Source organism: Homo sapiens, chromosome 5 (assembly GCF_000001405.40).
Source record: "Homo sapiens chromosome 5, GRCh38.p14 Primary Assembly".
Taxonomy (NCBI): domain Eukaryota; kingdom Metazoa; phylum Chordata; class Mammalia; order Primates; family Hominidae; genus Homo; species Homo sapiens.
Genome location: NC_000005.10, coordinates 151135739 through 151150371, shown reverse-complemented (window position 1 = coordinate 151150371; position 14633 = coordinate 151135739). Strand labels below are relative to the sequence as shown.

General features: G+C 50.0%; 1 protein-coding gene across 3 annotated transcripts in view, besides 2 other annotated features; it reads left to right on the top strand.

Annotated features, from left to right (window-relative positions):
• The window catches only part of ANXA6 (annexin A6), a 57074-nt gene that overhangs the window by 7408 nt on the left and 35033 nt on the right, over nucleotides 1–14633 (top strand). For 2 of the 3 annotated variants that reach the window (NM_001363114.2, NM_001155.5), the window contains exons 2-7: nucleotides 2446–2488; nucleotides 10129–10219; nucleotides 10925–11019; nucleotides 11581–11694; nucleotides 13051–13141; nucleotides 14037–14116. In NM_001363114.2, the coding sequence (NP_001350043.1) occupies nucleotides 2471–2488; nucleotides 10129–10219; nucleotides 10925–11019; nucleotides 11581–11694; nucleotides 13051–13141; nucleotides 14037–14116 (489 nt within the window). In that variant the 5' untranslated portion in view covers nucleotides 2446–2470. Of the gene's footprint in view, nucleotides 1–2445; nucleotides 2489–8687; nucleotides 8840–10128; nucleotides 10220–10924; nucleotides 11020–11580; nucleotides 11695–13050; nucleotides 13142–14036; nucleotides 14117–14633 lie in introns of those variants that run through there. The other variant, NM_001193544.2, reaches the window with a different exon arrangement.
• Nucleotides 8551–8760: an enhancer, noted in NCBI's record as "active region_23443". NCBI's record gives its function as "activates an Ori minimal core promoter by ATAC-STARR-seq in GM12878 lymphoblastoid cells {active_cell/tissue: GM12878}" and the evidence as "EXISTENCE:reporter gene assay evidence [ECO:0000049][PMID:35858748]".
• Nucleotides 8781–8860: an enhancer, noted in NCBI's record as "active region_23442". NCBI's record gives its function as "activates an Ori minimal core promoter by ATAC-STARR-seq in GM12878 lymphoblastoid cells {active_cell/tissue: GM12878}" and the evidence as "EXISTENCE:reporter gene assay evidence [ECO:0000049][PMID:35858748]".

Here is a 14633-nt window from a genome sequence, read left to right as displayed (position 1 = left end):
CAACCCTACAAAGCAGAAAAGGGAAAGCTTCAGTTTTGTGCTTGAGATCACCTTGAACTCAAAAATGAGCAATAAGCCCACGGTCACATGGCTAAGATTTTCCCTAAGTCTTGGGGGAACAGGGAATATGTGGAGAACTGGAAGGCATTGAGCTGAAATGTCTCCATGATTTCTACTCTCCTAGTTCTGTTCCTTTTAGGTCTTACTGGGTAAATCTGATTGACTTTGTTATGTTTACTTTTTTTTTTTTTTTTGAGTCAGAGTCTCACTCTGTTGCCTAGCCTGGAGTGCAGTGGTGCCATCTCTGCTCACTGCAACCTCTGCCTCCCAGCTCAAGCGATTCACCTGCCTCGGCCTCCTGACTAGCTGGGACTACAGGCACACACCATCACACCTGGCTAATTTTTGTATTTTTTCGTAGAGACGGGGTTTCGCATGTTGGCCAGGCTGGTCTCAAACTTCTGGCCCCAGGTGGTCCTTGCCGCTTGGCCTCCCAAAGTGCTGGGATTACAGGCATGAGCCACTGCTCCTGGCCTCTGTTATGTTCACTTTTAAAAAGCAATACATAGACATTGTTAAAAGAGATCAGGCCAGGCTTGGTGGCTCACGCCTATAATCCCAGCACTTTGAGAGACTGAGGAGGGCAGATCACAAGGGCAGGAGTTCGAGACCAGCCTGGCCAACATGGTGAAACCCATCTCTACTAAAAATACGAAAATTAGCCAGGTGTGGTGCCGTGCACCTGTAATCCCAGCTACTCAGGAGGCTGAGGCAGGAGAATCGCTTGAACCCGGGAGGTGGAGGTTGCAGGGAGCTGAGATTGCGCCACTGCACTCCAGCCTGGGTAACAGAGCGAGACTCCATCTCAAAAAAAAGAGATCAAATTGCCCAGACCTGCTTAAAGTGGAAAGTAGTGGTCCTTTGTTTCTCTTCTCCTTCTCTTAAGAAGATTGTTAAACTTTCATCTGTTGCCCTCCTGAGTGCTCATTAGCCAGCTCCCTACCTGCTTCTCTTATACTTCCCAAATCAGTTACATCTCTTTTTGCATTTATTTTTACGTATCATATCTTTGTTCCTTCACTGTAGACCCTGTCTCCTGATATCCTCCACCCGCATTCCTTATCCATTTTCAATGAGATATGTGTCCTGTTTTCCTGTGTGTTCCTGTCTTTTTTTTTTTTTTTTTTTTTTTGAGACAGGGCTTGCCCTGTCACCCAGGCTGGAGTGCAGTGGTGCAACCTTGGCTCACTGCAGCCTCCACCTCCTGAGTTCAAGCAATCCTCTCGCCTCAGCCTCCCAAGTAGCTGGGACTATAGGCATGTGCCACCATGTCCAGCTATTTTTTTTTTATTTTTTTTTAATAGAGATCGGGTCTCACTATGTTACCTAGGCTGGTCTCGAACTCCTGGGCTCAAATTATCCTCCCACCTCAGCTTCCCAAAGTGCCAGAATTATAGGCATGAGCTACCACGACCAGCCTGAAAAATCCAGTCTTTACAGTGGCCTCAGGCACCGGTCTCAGATCCTACATCCTACCACACCACTCCCTGCTACCACACCAGCCACACTGAGCTCGTGGTGGTTCCTCACTTGCACCACCCCGCGGTGTGCCCCAGTCACACTCGTGAGATCCTCTGACCCCTCCACCTGGGACTACACCCCTTGTCACTTTCCTGACCAAGCCTTGTCTTTTCTCTGTAGTTCTTATCTCAGCCTGATGAGTGCATTTGTTATTCATTCCCATTACAGCATAAGCTCTAGAGAAACAGAATTTAAAAAATTGCTCATATTTCTGCATGCACAGTGCCCAGAGCAATGCCTGACTAGGATAGGCGCTAAATGAGTGCATACTCACTTGTTCAGGAATGACAGTCCTTCAGATATTGCAGCAGGTGGTTGGAAGCACTTTGAGTCCTATCTGCAGGCGGTCAAGCTCTGGGTTCTGAAGCCATCCTTGTTGACTTGAAAAGGGGGCATGCATGGTGCAGATAGTATAGACTCTGGGATCTAGAAATTGTTGAATTCAGTTCTAAGCTGTGTGATCTTGGCTCATTTATTGCGATGCTCCAGCCTCAGTTTCCTCTCTATAAAAAAGGAGAATCTGATGTGTGGAAGGATTTCTGAGAGTAGTAACTGAGACGGTGCTGAGACAGGTACCCTGCCTAGTGTGGAGGAGTCAAGGGGTCAGTGGTGGGTCAGTGCCATGCCCGCCCTCCCTTGGGGATCCGCGTCCCTTTCCCATACTGCTGTGAATGTCTGGACACCATCTAGTCTGTCCATTGTCTTCTGAAAAAAATGTGATTGGCCTTGAGCTGGGTCATTGGGTCTGATTTAACCTGAAGGGCTGGGGGCAGCTGGAAAACAGCAGAGGGAGGAAATGTAAGGGAAAGAAAGGGGATGGTTAGAGTTGGGGGGAATCTCACATGCTGTCTTTCTTCTCTACAGTGGATTCTGCTGCGAACCGGAGACCATGGCCAAACCAGCACAGGTAAGGGGCCTCTCTTTCCTGAAGGTGGTACTCAGCCTTCTCTGGGCCTGGGATCCTCCTGGAGCCACTAGGCCTGCTACAGAGACCCCTGGTACCTTCAGCTTGAAAAAAGGAGGAAAGGTTCTTAGGCTTTGCTTGCTCCTGTTACAAGTCATGGCTCTTCAGATGCAGGTCACCATAATGTAATATAACCCACAATATCCTAAGCAGAAAAGGATGTGTATTGGCTTATCTGACAGAGAGGCCCAGGGCTTCAGGTCTGGTTGAATCCAGGGGTTTCCAAATGATAGTGTCAAGATTCTGCCTGTGTGAGCTGGGCTTCTTCCGGTGGCTTCATTCTTGGGTAGGTTCTTCCTTGCATTGGCATGGTAGTCATCAGCAGCTCCAGGCTTCCATTCTGCTGTCTTGGCAGCCCAGGGAGAAAACAACATAACTCATGCCCAGTGATTCCAGGGGAAGGCCCAGGTCTGGTTCTCATTGGCTGTGCCTGAGTAACCTGTTCTTTCTTGGAGCAAGGAGGTGGAGTTGGTCCCACCTGAACTGTTTGGCCTGACGAAGGGAAATGGATACTTGACAGGTAGAAAGACATCCTTGTTGACTTCTCTGCTCTGGATATAGAAATGTTCTCTGTCACACCCATTTGGGATTGAATTTCCTTGGCTTGGGAGACTCTAACCTCAGTCTCTCATGTCTGACTGTTCTGCCGGGCAATAGAATTGGAGGCACCTGAGAACTTTTACTCCCATGTGGCTGAGACTAGGTTCTGGCCATGGTCAGAGGTAGGATTCTGACCTCGACTGTGCTCTGTTGAGGCTGGGCACGGTGACTCTCACCTATAATCCCAGCACTTTGGGAGGCTGAAGTGAGCAGATCACTTGAGCGCAGGATTTCGACACCAGCCTGGACAATATGGCAGAACCCTGTCTCTAGAAAAAATACAAAGGTGGCATGTACTTGTAGTCCCAGCTGCTTAGGAGGCTAAGGTGGGAAACTCACCTGATCCCAGGAGATTGAGGCTGTGATGAGCTGAGATCATGCCACTGCACTCCAGCCTGGGCTACAGAGCAAGTCTCAAAAAACAAAAAACCCCACTCTACTCTGTTGGGGTTTGCCTGAGGGTGCTGTCTGTTGGCTGGCGTTGGAGAAAGCCATGCAGTCAGTGTGACGATGGGATTGGCAGGGAGAAGAAACTTGGGGATCTTGAAGAAAATCATGGGACTGGGCCCCGTTGTCCCTTACTCCAACCCAGAACTACTGGCCACAGAATGCACAGACAGAAGCTGTCTGTGAGGTCTTTGGGCCTCATGTTCCCCTTACGGAATGGTTGAATTCAGTAATAATAAAACTCCATCCATCCTTGACATCATGACTGCCCCCAGTGAACCTGGGCTTATAGGATATTCACAGTTTCTGAAGAGCACAGGATGTTATAGGATCAGTACCCTCAGAGAAGTCCTAGCTGTGGCCTTCCTCACAGCCACTGAGGAGTATACTGTGTGTACAAGTGGCCTCTCTGACCAGGAGGAGAAAATGTTACTGATTATGGGCAAAAATCCAAGGTGGAACTTTCACTGTTCCCCATTTCCTATGTGTAGTCATACTAGAGCTACTTCCTGAAAGGCATTTGAACTGCAGGATTCTAGATGATCCAAGTGGACAGGCCAGGCCCTGGAAGATCAGAGAGGCCAGGACCTAGGGTGCAGATCTTTGGACCTTGGTCCAGTGCTCCTGGGCCATGCCTTCTGCCTGGCTGATCTGTGGTTTCTTGTTGCCATGGACTAGGGTTCAGTAGACCTCCTGCAAGTGAGTCCCAGGGTGGCAGGGCCTTAGGGAACCCTCCTCCTATGGGATGAGTTGGCACCCTCCATGCACAGTGTTCTGGTGGGGCAGTAAAGGAGCTCTGGGGCATGCAGGAGGGCACCCCACCTAGGTTGAGGAGAGAGGGGAGGCTGCCTAGGGAGAGCTACTCAGGGGAGGAACAAGGGGGCTCAGAGTGGTCTAGGCAGGGACAACTGGGACAGAGGCTAGAAGGAGAGCAAATGCAGCGTGCTCAGGGGAGTAAAAGTAATTTGGTATGCTTGGGGTGCAGTGGTTTGGGGGAGAGGTGAGGGTTGCAGAAGACAATAACAGAGAAATGTGAAAAAAGCCTCCCTGCCGTTGAGCTGCAGTTGTTCCTTCCAGTTATTAGCTCGGCTTTCAATTATTAGCTTGAATCTGGTGTCCTCCAAAACTCCAACACACGCACACATGCATGCATGTATACACACGTGTGCATGCACACAGCAAACTGCTCCGTCTTCTCTGGCCTAGACACCCCCCAGTTCCTTCCACTGTGGTTATTGTGCTGTTCTCCCTATCTCTCCTTTTGGAAGAGGAGAACTTGAGGCCCAAAGACATGAAGAAGTAGGATGGTGCCATGGAAGACCCAGGAGGCATGGCGCTGTGGCCTCCATTTCACAGGGACGTTCTGGGTTTGAATGCAATAATGAACATAAAAACACCTTGAGGACAGGGCAGGATAGGCAGGTGCTTGTGCCTGGGACTTCTAGGAGCTGTGGAGGTGAGACCTAGGTCAGCACCGGCCAAGGCAGCTCTCAGCTGGAGTCCTGGCCATGTACCTGTCTCTCTGGGGACATCATCTCTGCTCCCAAGAGGCCACTAGGACTCCTGCTCCAGCAGCAGCCTGGGTGGGGCCCAGCCCCACAGAGCCCCAGGGCCCGGCTGCTCACCAGCTGGCACCAGGACCTGCTGAATATTTCAGGGTGGAAAGTCCCTTCTCTGCTGTCCCCTGCCTTGATCCTGGGTTCCCGCAGCCGGGAACCTGTCTGCCGGAGGTGTGACAGGCAGTCAGGGTGGGGTGGGTGAGGAGAAGCCTGTGTGGTTGCACAGGTGGCGCTTAGAGATGCAGAATTCATGAAGTTGGTGTGAGAATGACACGGTGGGAAGCCTGGGCCTGGATGATTTGAGGGGCTGTCTCTGTATCTCCAAATGTGACTAGTGCTAAGCCCCCCACCTTTGCTTCTAGTGGCTATGATCCTGTGGGGTCCCAGGACAACTAATCTAGTAGGTCATCACTTGGAAGGTCTTATTAGTCCCGTGCAAAGAACTGTGCAGGAGCCCGAGCTTGCTGCTCAAGAAGCTTGTCTCTAAGTGAGCGTTTGGATCAAGGCTTGTGTAGGTCATTAAGCACCCTTCCCCCAGCATGGCACTTCAGCCCCTTCTCCAGACACTGCTGTGACCACCCACATTGTATGAGGGGGAGAACAGTGGAGGGGGAGGAGCAGCAATAGGAAATTGGGGTCTGCGTGCTGCCTCATCCTCCGCCCTTCATCCTGGGGACATGCTTCCCTCTTCTCCGCATCCCTTCCCGGCAGCTTACAATCCCATGACTTTAGCGACTTTGGGCATCTAACTGTGAGCTCTGAAGAATCAGACTCTATCTTAAGTACTTGTCACCGCCCACACACCCCTGCCCCAGCAGACAAGTTAAAATAGTTTCTAGATCCCACATATCAACCAGACAGGTATTTGTATGAAATACCTGTCACATGAACCATATGAAATCTGCTGCTATTTGACTGTTTTTAATCTACATACAAGGCAAGTTACATGGCTCAACGTAGTAAAGAATGCCAGATACTAGGGACAGGGTTGTGAGTGGTCAGCTGAGTTTAATGGGTAAGGAAAACCACACTAGGATGTTAGAGTCTTGCCCTTACCCAGGTCCTGACTTAGGTGTTGTGCCCAGGCCAGCCCAGCAGGGCTAGAGCTGCCCTTACAAGAGTCTGAATTGTTTATCCCCATCATCTTCTCCAGCCTCATCTCTTTGCCTTCCCCGCTTCTAGTGGATGATCTTAGTGACAGCCAGCATCTGCTCTGAGCCCTGCAGACTCTGGGCTGGCTTTCCCGAATGCCCCTTGCTTCCCTCCAGGTCTTTGTCATGTGTCTCCTCTGTGTGATGCCTTCTTCCTCTTCGCCTTCCCCTCCCTACTCTACTCCTTGGGGCCAGCCTGTTGCTCATCCCTCAGGACTCAGCTTAGACGTCACCTCCAGAAAGCCTTCTCTGATCTGCTTGGAATATATTCGCAGTCATTCATCCATCCATTTATGAAACATATTCAGTGAGTGCTTGATTGCTCCAGGCCCTGTACTTGGTGCTAGAAATGCGTCAGTGAGCAAGAGAGACACAGTCCCTGCCCTCCCGGAACTTCGAAAGGAAATATTTCCTGGGTCCCATGCTGCCCTTAGCATCGTATCTGCCACACTGTCTTGTAGTTGAAGCTGTCATGTATCTCTACCAGATTCTGAGTTCTTAGTGGTCCCTGGTCCTAAGCATCTACTTAGTAGACTCTCAGTAAATGTTGCTTGCTTGCTTGATTGAATGAATGAATGGTAGGGTAGCCCTAGCTGCCCTGGAATTGTGAGTATCTGAATGTGAGAAGCACTTAGGATGCTGTGGATTGGACAGCATTGCTGCCTTTTTATAGCCTTGAATATAGGGTCGAAATGGCATAGAGGCAAACAGCACAGGGCAATAACTCAAATGCTTCAGTATTCAAGGAGAGGGGCAGGCTGGCATGGTTGACCAGGAGGAAGCAGTGGGCTATGTGGTGGTTGTCCCTTCTTATCTCCAGCTCCCACCCAGATGGAATCTGAGGGGAAGGGAGAGATGGTCTGTTAGAAAGAGCCTTGGATTCCCTTCCCAGCTGGGCCTCTGACTTGCTGTGTGGTCTTGACATGTCACCTGCCCTCTCTGTTCTGGGTCTTCTGGGACACAAGTGGTAATAGACCTACCTTCCTCATTTAGTTCTCAGCTTGTGGTTCTCAAAGTCCTTTCCCTCTCTTATTCCAAGTGAGCCGTGGGAGGGACATCCTATGACTGAAGTGGATTGGAGACTGGTGCTGCTGTGGATTAGGACAGGTTGGTCAGACAGGTGGAAGGAAAAACAGCCATGAATCATGGCAACAGGCTAGCCTGCAGAGGGCCCGGACAGACCCTGGAGGACCTGCCCCTGGTGGCATCTTTCAAAGCTTAATATTTCCACACTGGTCCCAGGAGGTCCTGACATTGGAGACAGCATTGCTAGGGATCCAGTGCCAGGGAGGTCTCCCTTCACTGTCTTCCCCTTCGGCGTCCTCCATCTCAGAGCTTGGGCCGTCATGGGTGTCTCCATCCATTCATTTAGCCCAGTCACAGTTACTTCCAGCCTGTATGCCAAGCCTGTGCTAGAGCTGGGGCTCCACGGTTCTTCTTAGGCAGAATGATTTGTCTTATTCACGACAGTCTCCATTCTCCATGGACTCAATAACTGAGTGGGAAGCTGAACTAAAAGGTCTTTAAGGATCGTTGCAAAGAAATAATTTTGAGCCTCTGAACCTTCTTGTTTCCTTTTTTTTTTTTTGAGACAGAGTCAGTCTCATTCTGTCGCCCAGGCTGGAATGCAGTGATGCGATCTGAGCTCACTACAACCTCTGCCTCCCAGGTTCAAGTGATTCTCCTGACCCAGCCTCCTGAGTAGCTGAGATTACAGGTGCCTGCCACCATGCCTGGCTAATTTTTGTATTTTTAGCTGAAACAGGGTTTCATTACATTGGCCAGGCTGGTCTCTGACTCCCTACCTCAAGTGGTCTCCCGTCTAGCCTCCCAAAGTGCTGGGATTACAGGCATGAGCCACTGTGCCCAGGCACCTCTTGTTTCTCCATCCATCCTAGTAGCTAATATTGCCTGCTGTGCTTTTTTGATATCGCTGGACTGGAGGTGTCCAGAAAGAAAGAGAAAAGGATTTAGAAGTGAAATTCCTGGAGGACCCCAGTTGTTTCGTGTTCTTGTTCATTTTATTCATGTGGCAAATACTTGAGTATTTGGTCAATCTCTGTGCAGTGGGCAGATGGATCTGGTATCTGCTCTCAGAGGTTTCTGGATCAAACTGCCCACCGGGGTGGAGAAGGCAGCAGGAATTTCTCAAGCTCCGGCCGTGAGGTCTGAAGTAAGGCCAAGGGGAGCGCTGGCAGTAAAGCCCCCATCCTGCGCTCACTGAGCTCCTTGCAAGGCGCCCTGCTCTGGGTATTCGGCATGTGTTACTCTTTAAGTCTCTGCCCAGGGGCGTGATCAGGTTGCAGGGGATTCCCAGGTGGCAGGAAGAGAGCTGTGTTCCTTTCTGGTCAGAACTTTAAATAGTAACTCCACGCCGACGCATGCATACCTCAGAGGAGCCAGCCTCTGCAGACAGAGACCAGAGAGCATCCAGAGGCCTGGCCGGGGTCCTGCAGTGCAGACGTTGGGAGGCACGGAGACGGGGAGAGGGGGAGGCGGTCCAGGACTCACTCTGCTCCACCTCTGACTCCTTGAAGGCAAGATCTGTGTGGCCCACCCTCCATTCCCTCTTTTTTGGATTCTTTCCTGATTTCCCGCAGCTGGATCAGCCTCTGCTGTTTTCCCACATTACCTTATTTTTGTCTTAATGTATTTACTACAAGCTTTATAGTAATTGATGTGCTTGTCTGTCTCTGCCACTGGGCCAGGAGCTCGTGAAAGACAGGAATTGGGTCCCCTTTCTCCCCAATTCCTCAGCCATTAGTGTAGGGCCTAGCACAAATGAAGTGCCTTGTCACTGTGCTGTGTGCTCGGTGACAGGCTCTGGCATCCTCCACTCTGCCAGCTCTCAGCTGCTCTCCCAGACCCCCCACTTTTCAGTGCCATGTAACTGACCCACATCTGACTTCTCTGTGAACCAGTCCCATTGTGCATTCAGGTTCAGGTTCGATGTCTAAGATCCCCTGGCTCTCTGCCGCTTCTCTCCTTCCCCTCAAAGACCAAGCCAGCTTGTCCTCAGATGCCAGTTCACAGCGCAGTTTACTGGGCCCAGAGGGGCAGTGCCTTGTCTTGGCATTGAAATGAGAGTGTCTCTGGGCCCCCTGTGCCCAGGACCCCACCCTCAGTAGCTGGCACCTGCAAGGTTCCTGGAGCTGGAGAGCAGAGCGGGGCTGGAGAGCAGAGGGAAAAGGTCTGAGTTCTGTGTGACCTCCCACAAGTGGCTCTTCTTTGGGCTTGGCTTCTGTGATAGAAATAATCTTAAGAGCGTCTACAAATGGCTACACTAATGACATTCACAGAGGTGAAAGTGTAAACATAAAATGCCATAAAAATATGAGGGGCTGGCTGGGTGCACTGGTTCATGCCTGTAATCCCAGCACTTTGGGAGGCCAATGTGGGAGGACTGCTTGAGGCCAGGCATTCAAAACTAGCCAGGGCAATAGAGTGAGACCCCATCTCTTAAAATATATATATATATATATATATATATATTTGACTCTTGCTATTCTTGCAGGGATCATTTTCATCTCCTATACTCAGCCAGGCTTTTTTACCCTCTCCTGGATGCTTTGGAAGGTGGTGCAGGGCTGCAGGCCTTGGCCAAGCCCCCCTCCCTTGGGGAAATGGCACTGTCCTTTGGGCGGGTTGCAGCAGGTGGTATGGGAAAGTCATCCACACCGCTCCCCAGGGTGTATGTGGCCAGCACTGGATTTTGCAGGGAAAGCAGCTCAGCCTGGACCAGGGTAGGCATCTGACCTGAGGTTGGGGCTGGGAGCTTGGTCTCAGTCCGGGGTTGGCAGCTCACCCTCTACTTTTTTCTCCACAGGGTGCCAAGTACCGGGGCTCCATCCATGACTTCCCAGGCTTTGACCCCAACCAGGATGCCGAGGCTCTGTACACTGCCATGAAGGGCTTTGGTGGGTGCCAGGCTTCATGGGAGCTTGAGGGGTATCCCCCAAAAGTAGACACAGCCCAGAGCCCTTCTGGTGGTGGTGGTAGGGTCTGTGAAATGGTGAAGTGCACTTATTCATTTTTTTGGTCTCCTCTTTTTATTAATTTTCATGATGTTATAATAAAATGTTTCAGAAAAAAAGTATAAAGAATAATAGAAATTTCACCCATAGATTTACCACCAAATTTAAGAACTAGTGCTTCATTAGCATAGTTGAAGTTTCCTTGGTAGATCCCCCTCCTGATAATGCCGCCCGCTGCCTTTGCCCAGAGGCAGCCACAATCCGAAGGTGGTGCTTATGTTCTTCTTTGTCTTGTGGTGGAAAGAACCCTGTACTGGGTGTTAGGATACCTGGGTTTTCTAAGCCAGGTTCATTGTGAGACCTTGGACAAGTTCTTGCCCCTCTCTGGGCCTTAATTTCCTGATTTGTGCAGTGAGGAGCTGGATCAGGGGCCTTCTGAGCACAGATATTGTGTGTGCTGTGTCCACTTTCAGTCGTGACTTAATAAATCCCCATGACCCTCTGCCCTGACACCAGCACCTGATGAGTGGAAGGCTCATGCTGAGGCCTGCAGGGAGCTACTAGGCCTGTGTCCAGGGAAGGAAGTGGCCCTGGTGGGCTTCCTGGAGGCAGGGTGGGTAGGATGATGATTGCTCTCCCCTATTCCAGGCAGTGACAAGGAGGCCATACTGGACATAATCACCTCACGGAGCAACAGGCAGAGGCAGGAGGTCTGCCAGAGCTACAAGTCCCTCTACGGCAAGGTAACCACAGCAACCGGAGGGCCCATGGGGTGCGGGTGGAAGAATGATTTCATTCACCTGTGTGCTCGTTCAGGTTATTTCCTGGATATGGCACTCCAGGTTAGCCTGTGGGCTGACACCTTACCCTGCTCTTTTTCTTCTCATCAGCTGGGCGTCTTTCAGCCTTTAATACACCCACAGCACCTGCTGTATGCTGGGCTCGTGCTAGGTGTTAGGGCTGCACTAGTGAATAAGATGGGTGAGGTGTCAACTCTGTGGACTGCCAGATAGTGAGAGAGATACACAGTAAACGAGGAAACAGACAGTGGTGGGGAAGTGGCACAGGGCTGTGGACCTGACCCTGCATAGCCGTTTGCTAGCAGCATGACATGGAGTAAGACCTCTGTTGTTTCTGAGCCTGTCTCTTAGGGTTGGTAACAGTACATACCTCCAAGGGTGATGATTTAATGAGATTACTTAGCCCAGCACCTGCCAGAGTAAGTGCTCATTAAGTGTAATTCTTACCGTTGTAACTACTCTTCCTCTTTCCTCTTCTATCTCCTCTTCTTCCCCACCTGCCAGGACCTCATTGCTGATTTAAAGTATGAATTGACGGGCAAGTTTGAACGGTTGATTGTGGGCCTGATGAGGCCACCTGCCTATTGTGATGCCAAAGAAATTAAAGATGCCATCTCGGTAAGAAGTGGGGGTGTATGTGGTGTTGGGGTGGGGATGTGGTTAATGGGAAGATTCTGGGCTCTTCCAAAAGCAACTGGTGAGCCCCATACCCACCCAGCACATGTGTCCTGCTTCAAAGACACATCTAAATTTATCCCAGAGGAGCATCCCGATCCGCACACAGAGAGATGCAGACAGATGTCAACATGATGCAGACCCCCTTACCAGGAGCTTGTAGTCCAAGGATACAGGTTATAGGGACATGGAGACAAATTGTGTCCAACACTCCTGAGGCCAAGGGCACACTAAAGGTAATCAACATGACCCTGGGCCAAGGGTTGTTTGAGAGGGCATCTTAAAGGATAATAGGATCAAGTTAAGCCCCAAAGCCCAGAGAGGATTTGGTGGATAGCAGTGTCAAGGTCATTGCAGGGTGTAAAAATGGCAGGAGAAGTTGTGGATCTGTGTTTAGGGTATGAAGAGTAGTTCAGCCCGGTTGAGGTAGAGGTAGAGAATTGCCCCCTAGGAAAAAGAGAGGCAAAGCCCTTTAAGTGTATCTAGCACTTTACAGTCTATAAAGTGCTATGATCTTTGTCTTCTATGAGCTATTAAGCATGAATTCATTTTATAAACTGATGCACTTAGCAATGTGAGATTATTATCTTCTCAATCTCCCTGTGAGTTTGGCAGAGCAACTAATATCATCTACATTTTACAGATGAGAAAACTGAGGCCCAAAAAGATAGTTTCTGAAGAGAATTCACAAAGCTGGAGGAGGCAGAACTAGAACCTTTGTGTTTTAGTCCATTCTCACATCGCTATAAAGAAACACCTGAGATTGGGTAATTTATAAAGAAAAGAGGTTGAATTGGCTCATGGTTCTGCAGGCTGAACAGGAAGCATTGTGGCTTCTGCTTCCGGGGAGGCCTCAAGAAGCTTCCAGTCTTGGCAGAAGGCAAAGAGGGAGCAGGCATCTCACATGGTGGGAGCAGGAGCAAGGCGGGAGGTGGGGAAGTGCTACATACTTTTAAACAACCAGATCTCACAAGAACTTACGATCGTGAGAACAGTAGCAAGGAGATGGTGCTAACTATTCATGAGAAACCGCCCCCATGATCCAACCACCTCCCACCAGGCCCCACTTCCAACATTCAGGTCTACGATTCGACATGAGATTTGGTGGGGAAACACATCCAAATCATATGACCATGTCTTATGAGTCTCAAGGCAGGAGTTCCCAATCAGTGCCTAAGAGCTGGGTAGGAACCTCCTGAGTCCTGGGGTGTCATAGCTCTGGCCACTCCCTGATCCCAACCTGTGTCCAGTGACCTCCCATCCCTGCCCTTAATTCATGCGCTCTTTTTCTACCCCCAGGGCATTGGCACTGATGAGAAGTGCCTCATTGAGATCTTGGCTTCCCGGACCAATGAGCAGATGCACCAGCTGGTGGCAGCATACAAAGATGGTGAGATGGGCAGGAGGGGCCGCTTAGGATCTTCAGATACAAAATGAGGATGATTGCAACAGTGGGGACACTAAGATTCTAGCCATCTACCTTCTCTCCTCCTTTCCTCTGATCCATTTGTCCACCCATTTATCTACCCAATAAGTACTTGCTCTGTGCTGGGTGATGTGCTAGGTTCTCGGGATAAAACCAAAGGGGTCCCTCTCTCTTAGGCCAATGAGATAATGAGATAATGAAGGAGACACACAATAAACAGGTGAACAGATAAACACAGTGATGATGGATTTTAGCTAAGTGTTGTACAGGAAATAAGGTAACAAGAATCAAACTTTTACCAGTGAGGTCTTGGGAGGAAATGAGGAACCAATCGTATAAAGAATGGAGAGAAGATCCTTCCAACAGAGGTCACGGCAAGTGCAAAGGCCCTGAAATAGAAATGAGCCTGGTAGCCGGTACAAGGCTAGACAGGTAGAGGACAGGGCAGGATCACACAGGGCCTGCAGGCCAAGAGAGAGATGGTGTTTTATTCTGAGTCTAATGAGAAGTTGGGGAGTATGATGATCAGATATGGGTTTTAAGACAGCCATCCTTGTTGCCGTGGGTTGGAAAGGAATTGAGAATAGAGGAGGAGAGAACCATCGGAAAGCTGTAGCCACTGTCCAGGTGGGCCGTCATGGTATAGGTGGGCTAGAGAGAATGAACAGATTCCATTTCATCATATCATGGTCAGTACGAAGAGCTGTGAAAATATACCCTGGGTCTTGCCATGATGGACGTGTAGACTGGGTTTTGGAATTCTTAAAAATATCTGATCATTTTGGGGGCAGCAGGGCCCTTTATCCTAGATCCCTGAGGTCTCTGGGGATGAGACTAGAGCTTGCGTTCCTTTCTGCAGCCTACGAGCGGGACCTGGAGGCTGACATCATCGGCGACACCTCTGGCCACTTCCAGAAGATGCTTGTGGTCCTGCTCCAGGTTGGTTCACAGCCTATTTTTTTCCTCTGGAGCTTGGGATAGCTTTTGTCTGGCTCATCTGGGTGTAGATCTGAATGTCCAGGGTCTGGTCAGCTTCCCCTGGTTTGCACAGGCAGGTGTATTTGGCTAATCCTCTTTCTCTTTGGCACACAGTCCTCTCGTGCCCAGGAGTGTCTTCTGCTGTGATTTTCTTCCTCTCTCCACACTCGCTCCTCCCGCTCCTCTCTGGGCCTCCTTCCTGCCATTGCTTCTGCAGCTGCACATGCAGCATTTCTGGACCCCAGCATTCCTGTGGCTACTGTGTGGAGTCTCCCACATCCGAGCCTTATTGCCTCCTCACCGCCCGCCCAAAGTATATCACAAAGAGACTATTAGGAGGCTACAAATTGGTGTCTGTGGCTGAATTCAACCTGCCAAGTTGGATTTTTTGTTTGTTTTCCCATAAAATGTGTTTTAAGAAAGAAAGCAAAACAAGTTTGAGTTAGTTGCTAACATTTAAAAATTGTGAGATTTTGCT